Below are 21,797 nucleotides of genomic sequence, written 5' to 3'. Positions count from 1 at the left end.
CTGTATTGAGTGAGATATTTATATTCAGTTTTTCAAGCAACATTTGCTACAGAGAGCCTCTGTCTCTTATTGAGTTTCCTTGTCAATTGCTCAGTTCATTGTTTTCCTTACCCACTTTATTGAGAATAATTTGTGTAAATAGACTTTCTCTATTTGAAGGGTACAATTTGAGGAGTTCTGACAAGTACATAACAACGTAAAGCCACCAGCACAGTCATGATAAAGAACATTTCCATACCCTCTATATTTGTCTGCTAGGACTGCCATGACAAAATACCCCAGACTGGAAAGCGTAAACAATAGAAATGTATTTTCTCACATTTCTGGCAGCTAGAAGTCGAGATCAACGTGTGTCAGCAGGCTTGGTGTTTTCCAAGGCCCCTGTCCTTGGCTTGCAGATGGCCACCTTCTCCCCATATTTTCACATGGCCTTTCGTCTGCTTTTAAGGACATCAGTCATATTGGATTGGGACTCACCCTAATGACCTCATTTTAACTTAATTTCCTCTGTCAAGACCTATCTCCAAATGCATTCACATTCTGAGGAACTGGGGGTTAGTACTTAAACATAAATTTTGAGGGGATGCAGTTCAGCCCATAACCCCCAAAATAACCCTTATGTGTTTATGTGGCTTGTTCCCACTCTGTGCTCCCAGCCCCAAGCGACCTCTGCATTTCATATACATGGAATCATGCCACATATTCCATGTTTGGCTTCTTTCACTCAGGCTGATTTTGAGAATTGTTAATGTTGTTGCATTTATAGGTAACAGGACACTGCTTATTCTTGAGTGGTCATCCACTGAATAGTCATACTACATCTTGTCTATCCAGTCAGATGAAATATTTCATAGATATGTGGGTGCCCTCCAGTTTACATTTGCTATGAATAAAATTGTTAGGAGCACTTGCCTGCAACATTCTGTGTGGATATATTTTCATTTATCTCACATGACTACCTAAGAGTAGAATAACTGAGTCATATGTTACTTTTATGTTTACTTTAAAAAAAGAATGCCTAGTAGATTTCAGCAGTGACTATACTATTTTCCATTTGCACCAACAGTGTGTATATTCCAGTTGTCTTCCAACTTGCCTGTCTTTTACATGGGCATTTTCAAAAATCTTACTCATTTTAATGGATGTGATTGGTTCATTTGTAATACCATTTTTTTGTAGCTACTATAGAAAGTCTACAAGAAAAGCGATTATTCTCCCTTTTTTATAACTGCAGTCTCAGGGTTTAAGAGCAACAATAAATACTTGGTAAGTGGATGAATATTTTGGTTTAACGAATTTTTTTCGTTCTTTTTCCTGGTTACTATTTAATGATTGCATTTATTATGCTGCTGCTCTAACCACGGCACTGTGCTTGGCTTTGTGACAGTGTAGGATCTTTAAATCAAATGAAGGAAGATGGATGCTCAGAACAGTGTCAGTGTCTACTATATGACAGAGGGCGATACATGCTTTAGAAGAGTTATAAACAGCATGCTGTAGAAAGTGACATGATCCTGGGGAGGGCTGGATAATAGGGAAATTGAGAAAAAGGATAAATTCAGAAACCCACTGGGCCGTGGGTCCAGGTCCCTTGGAAAGGGCTTCTTACTGCTCAGTTTTTACTAAACCAAAAATAACCCTCTTCAGGCAGTTCTATTTTGAGAAATAAGAAATAATACTTGTAACAGTTGCCATTTTTTTAACTCTCTATGTGCCAGCAACTGTGTAAAGGCGTTTGTTGTGTTGCCTTTGCACAGTGTTGTTTGTATTTGTGTTGTTTCATTTAATCTTCATGCACACTCTGTGAAGTAGGTATTTAATTCCTTACTTTTCAGATGAAGAGTACTAAGTTTGGAATGGGTCCATGCAACTAGCTCGGGAACATATAGCTAGTCATTGGTAGAAATGAAATACAACAGGTTTGTGAACTTCAAAGCTCCTTCTTTGTATCATTTTGTTGCAGACACAGATAGAAAAACATCAAGGGAGGACTCAAGCTTCTGGGTACAGCTTTTTCAAGATAGTTTTGCTGTTGTTGTATTATGTCCTTAGTATGATTTACAAAATTATTTTAGTCCCTGACACTTAATTATGTGGCTTAAATGTTTGTGGATTATTCAAGAGAATATTTGAAATCCTTCATATTCGATGACAAGATGAGATAATAGGGTAAGTATAGTTTAAGTAAAATTACTATTAAATAACATTTTTCAAAAACTGTAAATGCCATGGTTTTCTATTAACATTTTGGAAAATAGAATTAGCAATTTATTTTAAGCATCAATGCATATACTCACATATGATGAGCAGATTATAGCATTTATTTAGATAACTCAAGAAAAATAGTTATTTTGTTTTGTCAGTCTGGACTGTGTCTGAATAATATTTGGATATGAAATAGTCAGTTACATACTTCAATTTTCCACTTTTCTGGGCATTGAAAGACATAGCCAAAATGGCTTTCAGATTATGAGTTCTAGAACTTTTGAAAATAAATTTTAAAACCCACATGTTACAGATTTTATCAATGCTTTCCCTCTGTGGGGTCATTTTTCTGTATTTCTGATTTACATGCATCATATAGACGTGTTTAGGTAATATTTGCTTCACGCTTTTCTATAGACAGTAACATTAGTCAGGACCAGTCCTCAAATGCCATCTCTAGTTGTCATTTTCCACTTACTGATGCAAACAATTTGATGAATCCCAGGATTCAATTGCTGCTTCTCTATCACCGTCTTCTCGGAATTCTCAGGTCAACAGCACTAAGGTTTTCATTGTAATTTCTCACTTGAGACCCAGGACATACCTACTCATACAAACATATGCGATTATATGTTAGCCAAAGTGCTGCCACAATATTAAAAATAAAAGAGTACTTTTCAGTATGAGTTTGGAAAATTTAATTTGCTGTAGATCAGGGGTTGGCAAGTTTTTTCTATAAAGGGCCCGACAGTAAACGTGATAGGCTGTGTGGTTCATGAGGTCTGTGTTGCAACAGCTCATTGTAGCATACAAGCAACCATGCTTTATGTGGCTATATGCCAATAAAACTTTATGGACAATGAATTTTAAATTTCTCATAGTTTTCATGTGTCACGAAACATTCTTCTTTTTGTGCTTTTCAACTATTAACAAACATGAAAACATTTCTTAGCACAGAGTCTGTATAAGGTGGGATTTGGCCAGCAGCCCATGGTTTCCTCACCCTGCTAGTGTTGCTAAAATAATTTATATATTTTTCTTGGTTATCGTCATTACTAGGCAAAAAAAAAGAGAACGTTCTCTAAAAACCAGCCAAATTTTTCCTATTAGACTATGTGACATTTTATTCAGATATCTTTCTCTAATTCGGTAGATTTGAGGGATGAAATAGTGGTTTTGCTTCTCTAATTGACGTATTATCATCCATAGCTCCCTTCTACTGCCATGCATTTTTGCAGTCCTTTTTAATCTGAAGACCTTTCTTGCTACTATTTAAAAACTATTAACTATAATTGTTTTGGCCATGCAACTCTTAAAACACTGTGTTCAATGATTAGGCAATTAAAGTTTTATGTTTTCCAAAATTTGACAGGAGCACAGTTAAATCTGCTTTGTAAGGGTATAAATTCACTTGGACAGTTGTTTCTGCTTTCAGGATAGCCATAGCATTCACACTATTAGTGTGAGCAGCTGCATAAACTAACATCTATTTTACTGTGTTAAAGTCCCAGATTCAAAAGAATTCCATTCAGTTTTACTACTTACACCATTGTGTTATGGTTTGAAATCAAGAAGAATGTGTGAATGAGTTTTCTATAATGTCTCTGTAGAACACGAATTTGTCAGATAACATAGTACCTGATGTGGCAATTACGGGAATTGTTCCATAAATATTTTAGTTGCTATTAGGGCAGTAAAAATTTAAATATGAAAAAATAAACATCTGTGATATGCACAGAAAAGTCTCACTGAATTCTAGACTTTGAGGTAAGAAGTCTTACTCTGTGAAGCAAAATATAACTGGGCCCTAATTCCTGCATTTAATTATTGGTGCTACTTCTTTTTTTTTTTTTTTTTTTTCTTGTTGAGGCAGAGTCTCACTCTGTCGCCCAGGCTGGAGTGCAGTGGTGTGATCTCGGCCCACTGCAATCTCTGCCTCCCTGGCTCAAGCGATTCTCCTCCCTCAGCCTCCCAAGTAGCTGAGATTACAGGCACCCGCCACCATGCCCAGCTAATTTTTGTGTTTTATTAAAGACAAGGTTTCACCATGTTGGCCAGGGTGGTCTTGAACTCCTGACCTTAGGTGATCCATCCTCCTCAGCCACCCAAAGTGCTGGGATTCCAGGCATGAGCCACCATGCCCGGCCTATTAGTGCTCCTTCTTGGCTGTTGCCACGTAGGTGTGTTATTGACCATTGCATGTGTCATGAGTCAGTCAGAAAAAACTTCCAGAGAAGAGAAGCAATGTTGTCCCATTTAGTTAATGGTTAACCACAGCGAAATGGATTTCTTTTAAACGCAGGGACTTTTCGGTGCCTCAAGCACAGTGTGGTTCACTGGGAATTGCCACCAGCCACAGTATGAGAGCCAGAGCTTGGCACAGGCATCTGGCCAGAGATCACCTTGTCCCTGGAGGCGAGATGACCTACCATCCCAGGGAGCACGGCTCCTGTTAGAGCTGTCAGTCAGGTTACATCACAAGGCCCGACAATTACCTAATTATCCCCTGACTCGTTTCAGAATGATGTGACAACCTTGCAGGGATACATGCAGATGAAAACCAGGAAAAATTAAATTAGATGAGGAAAGGGATCAAAGGAAAGTAATATGAAGCCAAGGGTAATTTTGGTAAACGAAGTGTGTATTATGATTTATGTAAAATTGCAAGAGCTGGTCCACAAATTTGACTCTAAAGTTTTCCTAATTGTCTAAAAAAGAGAGAAATCTGATTTGTAGTGTCCGTAAAGGTAGAACAAATCACAACCTACAGAGAAACAGACATTAAAACAAACAAAGGGGCAAGATGTGCCCTCTGGGTTCCCCTCAAAGGATTTGCAATTTGCCATGTAATTTGTACATTACATATATATTTAATAATCATAATTAAAATCCTCTGTTGAATATGGGAATTCAATATAATAAAATAGACATGCTAATTTATCCACACTACTCACACTATTAGTATGAATGTTATGACTATCCAGAAAATAGAAACAAATGTCCCAGTGAATCTATGCCATTACAAAGCACGTTTAACTTTGCTCCTGTCATATTTTAGAAAATATAAAACCTAAATTGCCTAATCGTCGTACACAGTGTTCCAGAAGTTGCATGGCTAAAGCAACTATAGTTCAAAGTTTTTGTATAGGAGTAAGAAAGGTCCTCACGTTAAAAAGTGTATTCATTGTAGCAGACTGCATTCTAGCCACATTTATCTCCACTGAATTTCTCACTTTAAGCCAGAAAAATGAGGCTGATGAACGTGATCAAGGTCGTAGGTATCATTTCTTTTCCTCTCTTTTATTTCTATACATTTGTAACTTTTATCGAGTGAATATATGCTCATGTTTAAAAATCAAAGGTGCAGACAACCTTCTAATAAAAACAGCTTGGCAGGTCAGGGAATTCATCAGCACTTTTCTGTTTTCTCTCCAGCCTCACTTCTGCCTTCCAAGTCCTCACATTTCTGTTTTTGCTTTTATATTGTCCAAGCTGAATAACATATATATTTGGTTACATAATCATAATTAACATCCTCTGTTCAGTTTTAACAGTGTTACTCTAAAGTTGAAAATCACATAAGTGCTTCCATTATCGTGAACACAGTGGGATGTGCAAAGAAAATGAAACGGCTTGTTCTTTGTGACTGGTGTGATATTAATGATGAGCCCCGACCCTCCTATGTGCCTGGGAGAACATTGCCTTGATCACCAATCCTATGTCGTCATGTCCTGGGCCCCCAAGACCACCTCCCCCCTCCAGATTCAGTGATTCACCAGGAGAGCCTGCAGGACTTGCTGTCCTGTCACACACATAGCTAAGATTCACTACAACAAAAGGATATGAAGCGAGGGGAAAAGGCCCAGGGGGAGGAGTTTAGAGGAAACCGCAGGCAAGGCTCTGAGTCCTCCCCCAGTGGTCACTCGAGAGGCACTCAGTTGTGACAACGCGTGTGAAGTGTTGTCTGCCAGGAAGCTCAATGGAGAGTCAGTGCCCAGCGATTTTAGTGGGAACTGGTCATGCAGACACCTCTGCCTGGGGCTTATCAAAATTCCAGCCTTGCCGAGGGTGAGAAGATGTTGTGCATAGCCATGGTTTGTGCAGACAGTTCAGGCTCTGCACACCACCCGTAGCAGTAAGGGAATGATGTGGACGCTTCCAAAATTCACATTCCCAGATGCCAGCCAAGGGCCAAGCTTGAAAGCAGGCTTTTCAAACCATCGCAGCTTCAGTCCTGCTAGAACTCTTCTGCAAATTTACCTCCATATTAAGCGGTGGCCTTTGGATTAATGATCGGTGGATCCCAGATGCAGCTCCTTTTGAAGTCTGGGGTAAAGAGCCTCCGTCAAAAGGCTCAGTCTCTTTCAGGTACGGCTCAGGCCTGGAGAACTGCTCTGCGTCCCCGACTTTTCTCTAGAATAGTGCGTGTGTGCATGCATGAGTGTGTGAGTGTATGTAGTATGTGTATGCCTGTGTGCTGTGTGGTATTGTGTGTGTGTGCGTGTGTGCGTGGTGTGTTTATGCATGTGTGGTGTGTCTTGGTGTGCATGTATGTGTTTGGATGTATGTGTGTGGGGTGTGTTAGGCGTGTGGGGTGTGAGGGATACATGTGCACATGTACATATGTGGTGTGTTTATGCATGTGTGGTGTGTTTTGGTGTGCGTGCGTGTGTGGTGTGTCTTGGTGTGCGTGCATGCATGTGGGTATATGTGTGTGGGGTGTGTGAGGTGTGTGGGATGTGTGTGCACGTGTATGTATGTGGTGTGTTTATGCATGTGTGGTGTGTGGCATGCTGTGTGCGTGCATGCCTGTGTGCGTGCATGCCTGAGTGTGTGTGGTATGTGCATGTATATGTGAGTGTGTGGCATGCATGTGTGTGTGCACACATGTAATGGTAAAGGAGGGAGGGAGGGAGCACTCCTGCAGACTGGCAGGGGTGGCTGTGAACCCCTGCCCACCTCCCACGGCATTTTCCTCAGCATCTGCTACAAAGTGCCAGGGCGGCTCTACACTGGTTCCTGAAGCAGAGATGGGCCTTGTGATGACCGATTTAGCTCCTACAACTTAAACACTAGCTGGGTCCAAACGTCGTCGGTAGTAAAATCACCACAGCCTCTGCCCCTGAGTCCTAACCTTCTGCCTTGCACTGGGCAGTGGCCTCATACCACGTCTCCTGGAAGCTCTGTCAATCCCCTCCAGCCCTTGATGCCACCCTCCCTCCTCCTCCTTTCTGTGTCACAGCTGGGGAGACAACCCACCTCTTACTCCGCCCCTCCCGTGGCCACCTCACTGCTCCACCCACGGTGAGGAGGTCCAGGCTGCCACCTGGGGCTTTCCTCAGGCATCTGATCATTTCCTGAACCCTGAGCCCTCACAGACATACAAGCCAACTTTCCAACTTGCATCTCCCCAAGCCACTTTTTCCCATTCTCCCATTTAATTGATAATTAGGTCAGGCACAGAATTTTAGGTTGAAATTGAAGGTATTGCTGCAAGTTAAACATTCTATTTTGATTTTTGTTTCCAAGTAGATGGTCTGAACTTTCTGTTTAGAAGATTTGAGGATCTGGAAATTTGCTGCTCCTGATCCCCTGTGCCCTCTCCCCTATCTGCCTTTTGCTTTTGATTTTTTGTTTCTTTATTTGTTTGTTTTTTGAGATGGAGTCTTGCTATGTCACCCAGACTGGAGTGCAGTGGCACAATCTCGGCTCACTGCCACCTCTGCCTCCTGCATTCAAGCGATTCTCCTACCTTGGCCTCCTGAGTAGTTGTGATTACAGGCGCGTGCCACCACACCCAGCTAATTTTTGTATTTTTAGTACAGACAGGGTTTCGCCATGTTAGTCAGACTGGTCTTGAACTCCTGACCTCAGGTGATCCGCCCCCTTCAACCTCCCAAAGTGCTGGGATTATAGGAATGAGCCACCGTGCACAGCCCGATTTCTTAAAATTTAGTCAAAAAGTTATGAACCAGTTGAATGCTTGTGATGCTTTTTACTGGTTTGCTTTCCAAGAGGAATGCAATAATTGACACTGATATTTCATTTTAAATGATCTTCTCTAATTTAAAAGAAGTGTTGCTTTTATTGAATTTTTATTTCTTTGATGCCTAGGGAAGCTTGCTGCGCACCCCCTCGATGCCAGGCCCTCCTCTAGGTGCTGGGATGCCTCAGGGAACAGAGCAGACCAAGTTGGCTTTTGTGTAGCTGTGGTGACTAGGGACAGACAGCCCTTGCTCTGTGCTGGGCCACTGCATGGTGGGGTTGGGTGGGGATGGTAGTAATAATTATTATGAAGCAAAGGAAGCCTGAAAGGGCAGACACAGAAGTGGAGCAAAGTCAGGGATGGCCTTTCTAGTAAGGTGCATTTAACCTCAGCCGTAGGGGGAGGCTATAAGTGGAAAACGAACAGGTTTGGAGCAAAATGTCAAATATCGTCTTTGTATGTTGATGAACATAGTTTTGACCTAGCACATCCCTTGAAAGGGTCACGGGGACCCCCAGAGTCTGCAGACCACACTTTGAAAATCATTGGACTACACACTAATTTCACTATTATTTTATAACATAAGTGGAAACATGTCTTAAGGAGTACATTTCTATTATAACTCATATAAGCATATATTGTTGTTTTTTCCCAAAGGGTCCATCTTGCTGGGATGATGTTTTAATTCCAAACCGGATGAGTGGTGAATGCCAATCCCCACACTGCCCTGGGACTAGTGCAGTAAGTACCTGGTCACATTCATTCCTCTTATTGCAAGAAAATGATGACATCTTCACTGTTTGCCAGGAAATTAGAGACAAAATGTCAACTGACTGTTCTTCCATCTAATAATGTTTGCCAAAAGTGTTATGATATTTAAATAGGTTAATTACATTCACCAAAATTCCAACCTGTGCCCCTGCCTTTCAGGGTCACTTTCCTAGTGACTTAATCATTTGGGGGGACCGTGTGGAAATGTGCCAATTTAAACTCATTGCAAAGTTATATCCATAGAAGGAAAAGGAGAGGTGAGAAAAGGAGAGCCAGTGCAGAGCCTCCAAAAGAAAAATTACAGAAGCATGAGATTCACCTTCTCTCCTGCTCCAGTGATATTTTATATTTATATTCCCCATCATTCAAAATTGATTTTTTTTTCTGCTTTATCTACTTCTACCTTTCTTTAGTAATTTTCTGACATAGTGGACTATTACAAAATATAGTATGGGTGGCCGGCGATGTAATTGAATTACCATCCTCTGTTCTTTGTAATCCTTTCTCTCTTTGCACATATATGCCATATGTTTCATAGACCGCAGATATTTCCTGAAAGAACCCCTAAGCTCTGAATTTATTTTTAAGTTAATTTTGTTATTATGGTCATGCTTCACATGTATATTGTTGTATTTTTTTAACCTCAAAACTCGCTGGCTCCGTCGTAATCTAACTGTATACATTTCCTGAGTTGTAAATACTGTTATGCTGCCAGCACAAATGTCAGCCTTAGTTCCCAAACTGTCAGAGCCAGCTGGCAGTTAATACCTTCTCTCAGGAACAGAGTCTGTCAACAGCAACAGGTACAGCGTTTGAGCGAGAATCATGAGAGGAGCTTTCTCTTGCCAATCTGCTGGCTGATCGGAAGGATACCAGGATGGCAGTGGGCAACAATAAACAGTCACTCTCCACCAGCCTAGGGCTAGGGACTACGAACAGATTTTTATTCATCCAAATCCTGAAGAAAGATAATGACTTGTATGTCACTCACAGATTTTTGAGGTATCACACAGTCTTGCCAGTTTCCTACCAGGATGAAATTAGAGTGCGTATTTCATAGGGCAGAATTCTTAAGTGTAATTACATACGTTTACATGTATACAAATGTAATATGTATATATTATAGCATACATAATATGTAGATATAATTGCATCTAATAATATAATTATATATACATCTATGTTTCCATATATACATATGTGTTATACATATATACATACATAGAATCTTGCCCCTATAAACTTGTAAGTACAAACCGATGGGTTTATGCTTACAAGTTTTTAGGGTCAACATTCTATGTATGTATATGGTATACATATATACAACATTATGTGTATAATGTTAGAGTTATATCTATAACTCAAACCTGAGTTTGGGGCCAATATTCACTCTTCCTGTGCGGCACAGAAAGTCCTGGGTCTAGAATGTTGTTTAATGTAGTCAGTCATGAGTTGTAGTCCTGGGTACTGGGCTGAGAGTAGCCCAAATCCTCTAGGAGCCCTGTACTTTCAAAGGAGTCCTGAAATAATTTTCTCAGTGTTTCAAGGAACATAAATTAACAATCAGAAAAATCACAACATATATGTGGAAACAAGCCATGGTGAATAAGAGTGAGCAGAATTCAAAACAGTAAAGAACATAGAAATTGAAATCATCAAGGATAGAGTATAAGGATGCTTAATATGTTTAAAAAATAAAAGATTAAAAAAACAAAACAAAACGATTGGAAATATCCAGTCAAATTAAACAAGCACACACACACCTGAAATTCTAGAATTATATATAAATTATAATAATTGACACAAAGTTTACTAAATGGGCTGAACAGCAGATAAGACATAGGTAAAAAGAGAAAATAGAACTTAGATCTGAAATTTGACCTGAAAAAAATTATCCTAAATGCAGCCAGAACATAATAGATTTAAAAAATAAAAGAGAACTTAAAAAACATGGAGGATAGAGTTTGATAATACAGTCATTCCTGTCTACGGCCATACCACCCTGAACGTGCCCGATCTCATCTAATAACACAGTCATTCCTGGTATCTTTGGGGGATTTGTTCTAGGGCAACTTCTGCCCACTTTGGATACCACAGTCCACAAATAAGGGGACTCATAGGCTGTTTGAAGCCATCACAGCTGTCACATAGAGACTTTAAAATCCATGGGACAAGGAAGCCTTGCCCAGAAGCTTCCAGCTGACACCCCTTGGGTCCCCTTGTCCAGATTAGGCCAGTTCTGTGCACAGGACAGTCTGGATTTGCTCCAGGGTAGTGTGGGTGACACTAGAGGCTGCGTTCTTTGATCATGTGGGGGCGGCAGCTGCCCCACCAGGATGGAGAGGAAGGAAGGCTTCTTCCCATCAGCCCTGGGGGTGACAACTCACCCTGGGTTCCAGGGAAGGTCAGAAAGTCCATCATCGCCCCCGAAGGCCTCACAACTCTGTGGCCCTTGGCATGGGTGCTCTGGACATGGGGTTGCATCATGACCGAAGCCTTTCTCACAAAGGCCACGCTCCTGCTCGCCTCTCAGGCAGGAACACATTGTTCCTGAACGAGGATGCGGAGGCGCGTGCACAGCAGCCCTAAGACCATCTCTGATGTGCACTCCCGAGGGTGTACCTGCGGCGGAAAGTCCCCCACGCTGGCTTTGCTCATGAGGCCCGTTAGCCTGTGAAGTTCCGGGTGACAAATGAAGCTTCTTCACACATTACACTCACCGGGCATCTCTCCAGTGTGAGCATTCGGGATGCTTAAGGCCTGAGCGTGGCTGAAGAATCTCGCATAGACGGCCTCTCCTGGGTGTGAATTCTCCGTGCTGAGTGAGTGGGAACTTTCTCAGCCTGGCTTCCCCAACAAATCCCTTCTGCAGTGTGGACTTTGGAATTCTGAAGGAGGCGACAGCTTTGGCTCCAGGTTTCCTCATCTTCCCTGCACTGAAAAGACCTTTCTTTGCATAGGAGATCCTGGTGCCAAATGGGGGGAATTTTGGATGCTTTCTTGTCATTGCAGCACTTGTAGGACGTGTGTGGTTCCTCACACTCCTAACACATATGGGACTTGCCTCGTGAATTTTCTGGCAGTAAATAATGGCTGCTGCTTCTCCAGGCCTTTCCGAACACCATGTGTTTATAGGTTCAGAGCTGGGCCTCCCTGTCTTGGCTGGATTCGAGTCCTTGCTGTTCAGTACCCTGGCTTCTCATCAACTCCAGCTGTGTGGCCACGGTGATTGGGGGGAGGTGGGAGTGGCCTCAAGTCCCAGCGAGGGCTCGAGTTCAAAGGTCTTCAGTGCTCCGCATGGACCACGCTCCTCTGGGCCTGGTAGGAAGCCCCTTCTCCAGGAGAGACAGCCAGTCATGTCCTCAAAGGTCATGGTCCCTGTGCCAAGGTCATTATCTTCCCCGCCCTTATTGGAACCTCAGGCTTGGGACCTCCTGGGAAGCAATTCCTGGACCAGTCACTTGGTCAGTCTAGTCATTGTCAACATTAAACCCTCAAAGTTAGAGGTGAACCTACATTGTCTAGTATAACCATTCAAGGGATAGAACTGAAATACAAAATGCCAAATTGAGAGATGAAAAAAAAAGAGAGGGGGTGAAATATAGGAAAATGGGACAACTTAAGTAGTGCACACAAAAATGGCACAAGTAAAACCTCATGTAACAGAAATGAAAAGAAATGGAAATGCACTAACTGAAATGTGAAAGACAATGACTCTTAGACTGGGTTAAAGGAACAGAATCTGGCTTTATGCAGGTTACAAAAGACATACCTAAAACATGTGAGCAGAAAAACATCGAAAGTAAAAGAATGGAAAGTAATAATCCAGGCAAGTATTAACTCAAGAATGCTGTTGATACCATTTTAATTGCACATAAAATAGATTTTCAGGAGAGGGTGGAAACATTACTAAAAAAGGAGACATGCGAGGTTTTGAGGAAAAATATGTTCAGCATCCCAGGAAAAGGAGACTTTTGAGGTTTTGAGGATTAGAAAGGTTTAGTAACGCAGGAAGATAAAGCAGTTTAAAATGGTATGATCTTAGTAACACGGATTCAAAATGTACTAAGGAAACATTGTCAGAATTAACAAAATATGTGGATAAATTTAACACCATGGTGGGAGAGAGAGTAACACAGCTCTCTGTGGAGTTGAGGGCTCCTGCAGTACAAGCTTAGGAAGGACGCGTCCGATTCGTACCACCAGTGAGCCCACGACATCAGGAGAGAGTCACTCGGCAACTGGAGGATATCAACAACTGGTCGTGTTTTAGGACATTAAGAAATTTAACTATCAATAGCAAAAATATAACTCTAAAAATCTGTTACACGTGGACATTCAAATCACTGAGTCAATGTTAAGATCTAAATGGAAATAAGGGAACAAACAACAATGAAAGGGTACCACATAGCAGATATTTGGAGTGTAGCTAAATTTGTATTTGAACAGGGAATTAAGGATCATAAATACCCAAAGATATTCTTATCAAGGTAGGAAAAGGAAGCATCATATCCAACTATATTTTTTCTTCTGTATTTAATAAACACCAACTAAATGCCTGTTAAGTGAAGGGACTGAAGGTTTGAGCACTAACCATGACAATAGCTAGCTCAAGTTAAGTGTTCAGTGTGAGCTCAACTCTTTCACTCTCTCTTAAAACCATTTTTCTGGATTGCATTTTCACAATGCAGCTAAATATAAACTCTGACTCCTGTATTTTCTAAAGTCAAGGTTTTGACAGTATTTTGGACCCTATATATAATTTATTTTATATATTTTAAGTTTATTAAAATTTTGAATTTCTATCACTTAGACAAAATATCCATGTACTTAGAACTTAAAATAGCAGTGTTCCTAATATATTCTTAATTAATTAATATTTATACCCTTAAAGATAATCTTAGTAGATAGTTTTAAATAGCAGTAAAGTTTACCCTTGGTTTTTAAGAGTACAAATACAAACTTGACCCTAACTCTCCTTTAGACAGAGAAACCTGAACCTAATTCAGCTTTATGCTAATCGCTGTTATTTTAGGAGGGAGCATACTATTAGTTCTTACCTTTTTATAAAAAGAATTCCGGTCAGCTCAAAGGATATATGCTTGAGATTAAAAAGGGGATGAAATCAATTAGGATTTTCTCCGTTAGTGAAATTAACTCAACTTTGGATATGGCATAAGACTTTAGTTATTCTGTGTCGATCTTCATTTTATAATTTACCTATGATACCTTAAACCAAGCTTGTTCAACCCACGGCACCGTATGCAGCCCAGGATAGCTTTGAATGTGGCCCAACACAAATTTGTAAACTCTCTTATGAGATTTTTTTTTTTTTTTTAGTTCATCAGCTATTTTTGGTGCTAGTGTATTATATGTGTGGCCCAAGACAATTATTCTTCTTCCTATGTGGCCCAGGGAAGCCAAAAGATTGGACACACTGGCCTTAAAAACTTAAAACAATAATTTGTGTTTGTATGTGTACTGGGGGATGTGTGTTTCTCTTACTTGGGCACACATAGGCTAAGGAAAACCCTGAAGTCCTAGTGCCTGAGCATTATTTCTGAGTTCCGAATCCTAACTCGTAACACTGAGGTCCACTGTCATCCAACGCTCCCCTCCGAGACCTGTGGTTTCAGTGGTGCTTTTCTGGTAATGAGGTGCCCCTTAGCCAACTGCAAGAACCTTGCCTGTTCCCTCACACCTGACAGTCACACAGTAGGGTTTAGGATGGGGGTATTTACTCAAATAAAAAAGAAAGAAAATTTAAGTGATCTCTTTAAAGTAATAAATGACCAAGGTCATTTTAAAGAAATTCTTATTGAGGGGTGTTGATTTCCTATTACACAAGCTATAATATTTTTTATATATCATCTATTTTTGAGAGGCAGAATTTACCTGAAGTGTTATGTAAAATAACATTTTCTTTTTTAGATTATTTGATTTTGACTGGAGTTCAACTCTTATACATCAAACATTTTTTTTCTTATCAGAACAAGTAGCGTAACACCTCTTACAATAACTCCAAGATTTATTTCAAATGAAATTAGATACTTAAAACTATCCCCTGAACTATAATAAATAATGTAACTATTAAACTCAGTATAATAAATAGAGTGTTTTCATCTTACTCAACATGCAATCTATTTTTCACACTTTCCCCCTCTTAGGCTCAGTATATGCCAACTGGAACGTTAGTTTGAATGAAAGTTAATATTCATGGTCTGCACCTCTGATTTCATGTTGTTGAGAGATGTTGACTGAAACAAAATTAATAGCAAATAAGTCTCCTAATACTGAGCAATTGTGATTTATGTCAGAAGTCATTTCCGTATTTTATGTCCAAAAAGTTTCTTAATAATGTTTTAGTTTGATCAAATTACTATCCTCCAAGGAATCTGTATTTCTTTTGTCTGTTTTTATTGTTGTTTTAGACTTCATTAGAATCACAGAAAATGAGACTCAGAATTTCTCAGGATGGTTTCATGTGTGAACTGTATGTTTTGGGTTTTTTTTTTTCTGGTGTCTAATAACAATAAAAGGTTGGTTTGCTTTTGTTTTTAAGAAATGCTCTTGGATTGAAAAGTGTCCCTGAGATAGTCACAAATGACGGTCTTCATTTGCACAGCATGAGAGCCGTGGGCTCCATATTCTTGTGTTGCCCATGCTCGTCTGCACTGTACAATAACTATCAGCACAAGCATCTCCAAATATATATTTAAGCAATTCCAGCCTTTGTGGCTTTGAGGGGTCCCACTGTGGTCAAAGAGCAGCTGGACACTTAAATGTAGAGAGTGGAAAATGAAAACAGAGGTAAAGGACAAATGGACTCATTCACTCCCCTTTTCCTTCTGCCCTGGTGTTTGGCTGAAGAGAAATGCTCTGCCTGCCCTTACGTTGGTCCCCACAGTCATGTTTTCTTAATTCTAAACAAAATTGAATTGTGAAAACTTTGAAGTCAAACTCAGATTATGATTGAATGGTGTCTAAGCGTGACAAAGTGTTCTCTGTTGTCTGACATGCAATTTGGGGTGACAAACTAGAAAGTTTTCTTAGAACATTTTTCAAAAACCCAATCCAGCATTCAGACTCAAGGACAGCTTATTTCTAAACCAAGTTTTGAATACTTGATAACAAAAAATTTCTTGTTTTTTTTTTTAATTGTTAAGGTTAAAATTAGAAGATAGATTTTTATTACAGAATTAGCTTAAATTTTGCAAATTTGAATCAAAATTTCGTTTGTATATGAAAACGCATTAGTTTCCCATGGAAAAAAGTGTCAATGATGGTATGAACCCTAAGCTTAATTTAATTCTCCTTTTTCTGTGAGATAACCATGACATAACTTCTTTTTCATCAGGGCTCTTTTATAACCTGGTGGAAAATTGAATTAACAGCCATCTTCTTCATGGTAGTGTTAAAGATTCCTTGTAAACTGCTACATGAAAAAATAATCTCCAGAGGAAGAAAACCAGGTGCCAGAACCAGTGCGGCTGTAGCAGAGAATCTGCACGTGTGAAATAACAGTGTTCACACTGCTATCACAGAACATGACCTTGGTTTAGTCTATGACGCCATCTTTCCAGCAATATGCAGCTTCCAAAATACATACTTCTTGCTTCCCTGTTCTAGGAAACTCCTAGTCAAGGTGAATGTCAGCTGTTTTTTACACTTGATGATCTGCGATCTTCTGTTCTATAGTTTGTATCGCACTTTATGTGCAGTAGAACAAAATCATGCATATTACTACAACATATTCAAATATGAGGAATTTTATACCGGTTTATAAACCCCAGAGGCTTCAAAAGTCTTACTTCGTTTTTTGCCTTTCCATAGAATGATTCAAAAGCCAAACGTGTCAGTCCGAGGCTGTGTTGATGGTTGCATTGCAGGTTTAGACAAAGGCCCTGAAAACAAAGAAACAACAAAGCACTTTATCACAATTACTCAGAAAGAGGTGTGCTTCTAGACCACTAGGTTTTAGATTAGGAGAGAGTACATATCGATCTACTGGAAAAGATAGTAATAGATACAAAAAAGATAATTTCAAATAGATTTATAAATGAGATTCTGAGAACTAGAGCAAAGAAAGATTAAATACCGCTGTAAGCTTTCCCAAATGTTTCAATCGAGATGGTACATTAGACCCAAATGGAAATATCAAGGATTAGAGATGGGAGGTCACTCTGAGATAGCCTCAGTGCAGATACACAGGAGCCTAATGGAGTGAGAAGAATAGAAGGAAGACGTGAGAGTAATGGGCCAAGAGATTGAGGCCTGCTTCTCGGCCGGGAAACAGCCCTCCTAGTCCTTCCAGCAGGTGATTGATGGCTCCCAGGGACCCGCACTTCATCATGCCTTGATGGCGGTCATTAAGGAGCTATCATCTGTCTTACTCAGGTCAAGCTAGCTCTCAAAAAGTTATCAAGAGCCACAGTAAAATTTAGTTTTTAAGATATATGTGGCAAAAATCCCTTAAAGCCAGTTTACCAAACTTGAGATTTAGAATGGAAATTATAAGCATATGGAGAATCAAATCACAACTGAGACGATGTCACGTACTGTTGACCCACATGTGGTGAAACACTCCCTTCCACTAATGTTTCTTGGAGAAAGGAACATAGTTTGGGATCTTCGGATCATCTGAGCTTCCTCAAGTAGGCAGTCATCATTCCCCTTAATACTCAGGGTTTGGGAAAATAACTTCAGTGGTGATCATCTTACGCAAGTATTATTTACAAGGTACAGAGAAAATGTTTATGTTTCAAGAGTGGAAAAGCAAAAGATCGTTTTTAAAATTTGCATCTTTCCATTGAAAGAAATGTAGATAACTTTTATAACACATTGATTTGTTGTGCTAGTCACTATGCAGAAAACAAAGACTGACTTTCAGGATGTAGGAATCTAGCCGAGTAGAGAAGACTTCACAAAAATGGCTGCAATTCAGATTCCGCAGAGCAAGTAAAAAGCTTACCAAGCATCTCTTCTGTGCCAAGCACTAAGATAGAAAAACGAGTATTGAATTCACTGCTTTCATAGTTTGGGAAAAATTGGGGATGGAGTGAGACGTGTAGGCAAACGATGATTTTTATGCCATGACCTAAATGCTAATAAGATTGGATGTGAAGGACCATGCAAGGACTTCCCTCTGTGAATAGGGCAGAGGAAATAACACAAGTTAGTATATCATGAGTGATGTGAAACACGCATAGAAAGTGCTTATGGAGTTCAGAAAACACAAAGGTGATCAAAGAGGACTTCATGGAGGTGAGGCCCAAGGGAAGAGTGGTGGGATTTTCACAGGTGGTGATGTTGGCATGGTTGGGAACATTTTGTGAGGTACAGGAAATGACAGGAATAAAGGAATAGAAAATTAAGGTTCATGCATTCCGTAATCCTACTGGCCACTTGCTCTGTGCCAGACTGCCCACTCAGCTCCAGTGTATAAAATCAACATTCCCTGCTTTGATGGAGCTCTATCCAGTCCTCATGACTTTGAACTTGTCAAGAAGGAAGATGAGATAGAAAAGCAGAGGATGTTAAGAGGACATGAAACAGGGCGGCTGCCTGGAATCTACGCTGGGAAATTAGACGTTGAGCTGAAATGCAGAGGCTGAGCTAGACTTGATGACTAGGGGTTGAGGACATGCCTAGCAGGGAGGAGCTCCTGCAGGAGCCCCGTGGCAGCAGGGAACTGCTCTGGGAAGCACCTGGGAGGTGGTGATGGCTGAGAAACAGGAGGTGGTGCATTACTTCCTTTTCGTTTGTTCGTTCCTGTAGAAGTTCATTAGCGTAATAGGCGTAATCTCAGCATGTTGAAGTTTAGGTGTTTCAAAGGCTGAGACAGCAGTTGCGAAGTCTGTAGTATGGTTGTGGTGGAGTGATGGCATAAGGAACAAAAAGAGTAAAAGAGAATCTTGAAGGGAACAAAAACAAAAGATTATTTTGTACAATTTTTTCTGCCTTCCTTGAATCCCTGGCAAAGTGTGAATAAAGGTAAATTAGAATTGGCATTTTTGTCTTCCCTAAAACTCAGAACACAACATACAAATGAGATGTTCGTTTAGAACTGGGTAGAAGTGCCACTCTTTTCTTGTATTTATTGGGTTATTAAGATCAGCCATCTGGTGGTCTTCTGTCTTGACTGTTCGTGTTTCTCCAGGGTGTTCCTCAGTGGGAATCTGCTTAGTGGTTGACTGAAATTCTATCTTTATCAGCAACTCTGTTATCTATAATCGCTAGAAATGGATGATCCAGTATGAAGATTTTCCTGCCTTTCTCTTCCTGCTGCTTCCTTCTTGTCAATCTTCCTAGAAAACTGAGGACCCTTTTCTGTTGCCGTTACCTTTTCAAAATATTAGAGGGGAGACAAAATGGGTTACTATGTAAAGTGAACTTTGAGACTATCTGAGACTTCATCCTTTCCAAAGGACAATTGAGTCAATAGCAACTACATGCTGGACAGTTTGAGAAACTGGATTGAGAGTTTGGGATTCTGTCTGTAACTCCTTCTCCTTCTATGTCCATGGCCATTGGCCTCTGTTCATCTCCATTTGTCCATTTGTGAAGCAAGACTGCACATCAGTGAATTTTGAAATTTCACTGATCATTTATGCAGACACAGGATTCAATGAAGCTTCCTTGGCTTTCAAAACTGAAGGATGTTCTGTTGGGTTTATCTAACTGTGTATATATGGAGATTTTTCTTATTCAAAAACCTTATTCAAAAACATCTATATTTTTCTGGATCCCAGCATTGTGATTTTTTCCTCAGGGTTATTGATATGGTTTGGCTATATCCCCACCCAAATCTCAGCTTGAATTGTGTCTCCCAAAATTCCCATGTGTTGCTGGAGGGACCCAGAAGGAGGTCATTGAATCATGTTGGCTGGTCTTTCCCATGCTATTCTCATGACAGTGAATAAGTCTCACGAGATCTGATGGGTTTATCAGGGGTTTCTGCTTTTGCTTCTTCCTCATTTTTCTCTTGCCACTGCCATGTAAGAAGTGCTTTTCACCTCCCGCCATGATTATGAGGCCTCCCCAGTCATGTGGAACTGTAAGTCCAATGAAGCCTCTTTTTCTTCCTGTTTTTGGGTATGTCTTTTTCAGCAGCATGCAAATGGACTAATGTAGTTATCTAACTTACTAATTTCTTACCTGCCTTATAAAAATGAACTATTTTAACAATCAAAGAACCATTTCTCCATGTGCTTCTACCATTTTATTAAAACTTATACTGATGTTCACAAGAATTATAAGTGCCATTAAGTAATTTTATATTAAGCAATTAAAACTCATATTACCTAGCACAATGTACAATATATGAAGACACTTTAGAGAATCAATTCTAATTTGGTATTTAATAGTGAGTAGTATTAATTATTATAAGGCCTGCATTTAAATGTGGATATTTTATTGATAGAACAATGAAAATATTTTAAATGCATTCAATGCTTAAAAGGGCTATGGTTCAGCCAGGCACAGTGGACCATGCCTATAACCCCACCATTTTGGGAGGCCAAGGCAGTAGTATTGTTTGAGCCCAGGAGTTTGAGACCAGCCTAGGCAACATTATGAGACCCCATCTCTATGAAAAATAAAAAAAAAAAATTAGCTGGGTACATGCCTGTAATCTCAGCTATTTGGGAGGCTGAGGTGGGAGGATTGCTTTAGCCCCGGAGGTGGAGTTTGCAGTGGGCTGAGATTGGCCACTGCACTCCAGCCTGGGTAACAGAGCAAGACTGTGTCTCATAAATAAGGACTATGGTTCAGTCATGAACCATAGTCAGTGCATTTTTCTCCATTTATGTTTGCTTTTATTTCAATAAAATAAATGTTTGTTTCATTTATGTTATTATAATTCTTGTGAACATCTTGTGAATGTATTCTCCATTTATATTTGCTTTTATTTGAATGAATTTATTTCATTCAAATAAAAGCAAATATAAATGGAGAAGAATGCATTGATGCATTGTGAGGTTCATTACAGCTGAGTAATTATGGCCTATGGCTCCATGAGAACTAAATCACAAAACTAGAAATGTAAACTATACTGCATGGGAGTGAAGCTTGAGAGCCTTCTCAGCAAGGCCTTGTGTTTCCTCCTAGGGAACATGCAGGATCAATAGAACTGTTCTAAACAAGTGGCCACTCTAGGATAGGATATGTCAGCCACACGTACGGGACTAAATGCACACTGTAACTGACAGATCCCAAGAAAGCAAATAATAGAAAGGTTACCCAAACCAGAAGATACTTAGGAGTCTACAAAGTCACAATTGTTACAATTTAGGGGCTATAATCCATTAATACTGGTTATCATGCACTGTTTAAATTGTGGTTCCTTAGAAGCCATGCAATGATATACTGAGAACTATGGGTTAGTCTGATTTCACCGCATTTTCTTCCCAGTGATCACAACTGGAGTACCTCCTGCAAATTCTGTCACAGATACGACAGGTGGACCTCAAAAAACAAAGCAAAGCTAAACTAAACCACAGTAACAACCTAAACCCTTTGAAATGGTGAGAACCAATCTCTGTTTAGAAAGAGAGAGAGGTGGGGGAATGGGTGGGGCCTGGAGGCATTTGGAGCTTTAAGAGGAGCTGAAGAAATGGAATGTCTTTACTCTCTCCATCAAATAGTGCTTTGTGGCTAAAGACATGTTGAAGAGAATGGCCACCAAGTGGTAAGAATTGCCATGAGTCCAAATGTTTACAGGTTCAGGAACTAAATTTTAGCAACTCAGTTCTTAAAGAGACGAACTCATGAGCTATCTAATACACAGTAGACTATGAACCATGATGTTCATTTATTGGTTTATACTCTGGGAACA

General features: G+C 40.0%; 1 protein-coding gene across 6 annotated transcripts in view; it reads left to right on the top strand.

Annotated features, from left to right (window-relative positions):
- PRKN (parkin RBR E3 ubiquitin protein ligase) overlaps window positions 1-21,797 on the top strand; it is a 1,380,350-nt gene that overhangs the window by 664,744 nt on the left and 693,809 nt on the right. For 4 of the 6 annotated variants that reach the window (XM_024446449.2, XM_011535863.2, NM_004562.3 and 1 more), the window contains one exon: window positions 8,849-8,932. The exons of the other annotated variants lie outside the window; for them this stretch is intronic. In XM_024446449.2, the coding sequence (XP_024302217.1) occupies window positions 8,849-8,932 (84 nt within the window). The remainder of the gene's footprint in view (window positions 1-8,848; window positions 8,933-21,797) is intronic. 6 annotated transcript variants of the gene reach the window in all.

The sequence above is a fragment of the Homo sapiens genome, chromosome 6 (assembly GCF_000001405.40).
Source record: "Homo sapiens chromosome 6, GRCh38.p14 Primary Assembly".
NCBI lineage: Eukaryota > Metazoa > Chordata > Mammalia > Primates > Hominidae > Homo > Homo sapiens.
Note: the sequence above shows the minus strand (reverse complement) of the source record. Positions and strands in the feature narration are given on the sequence as shown.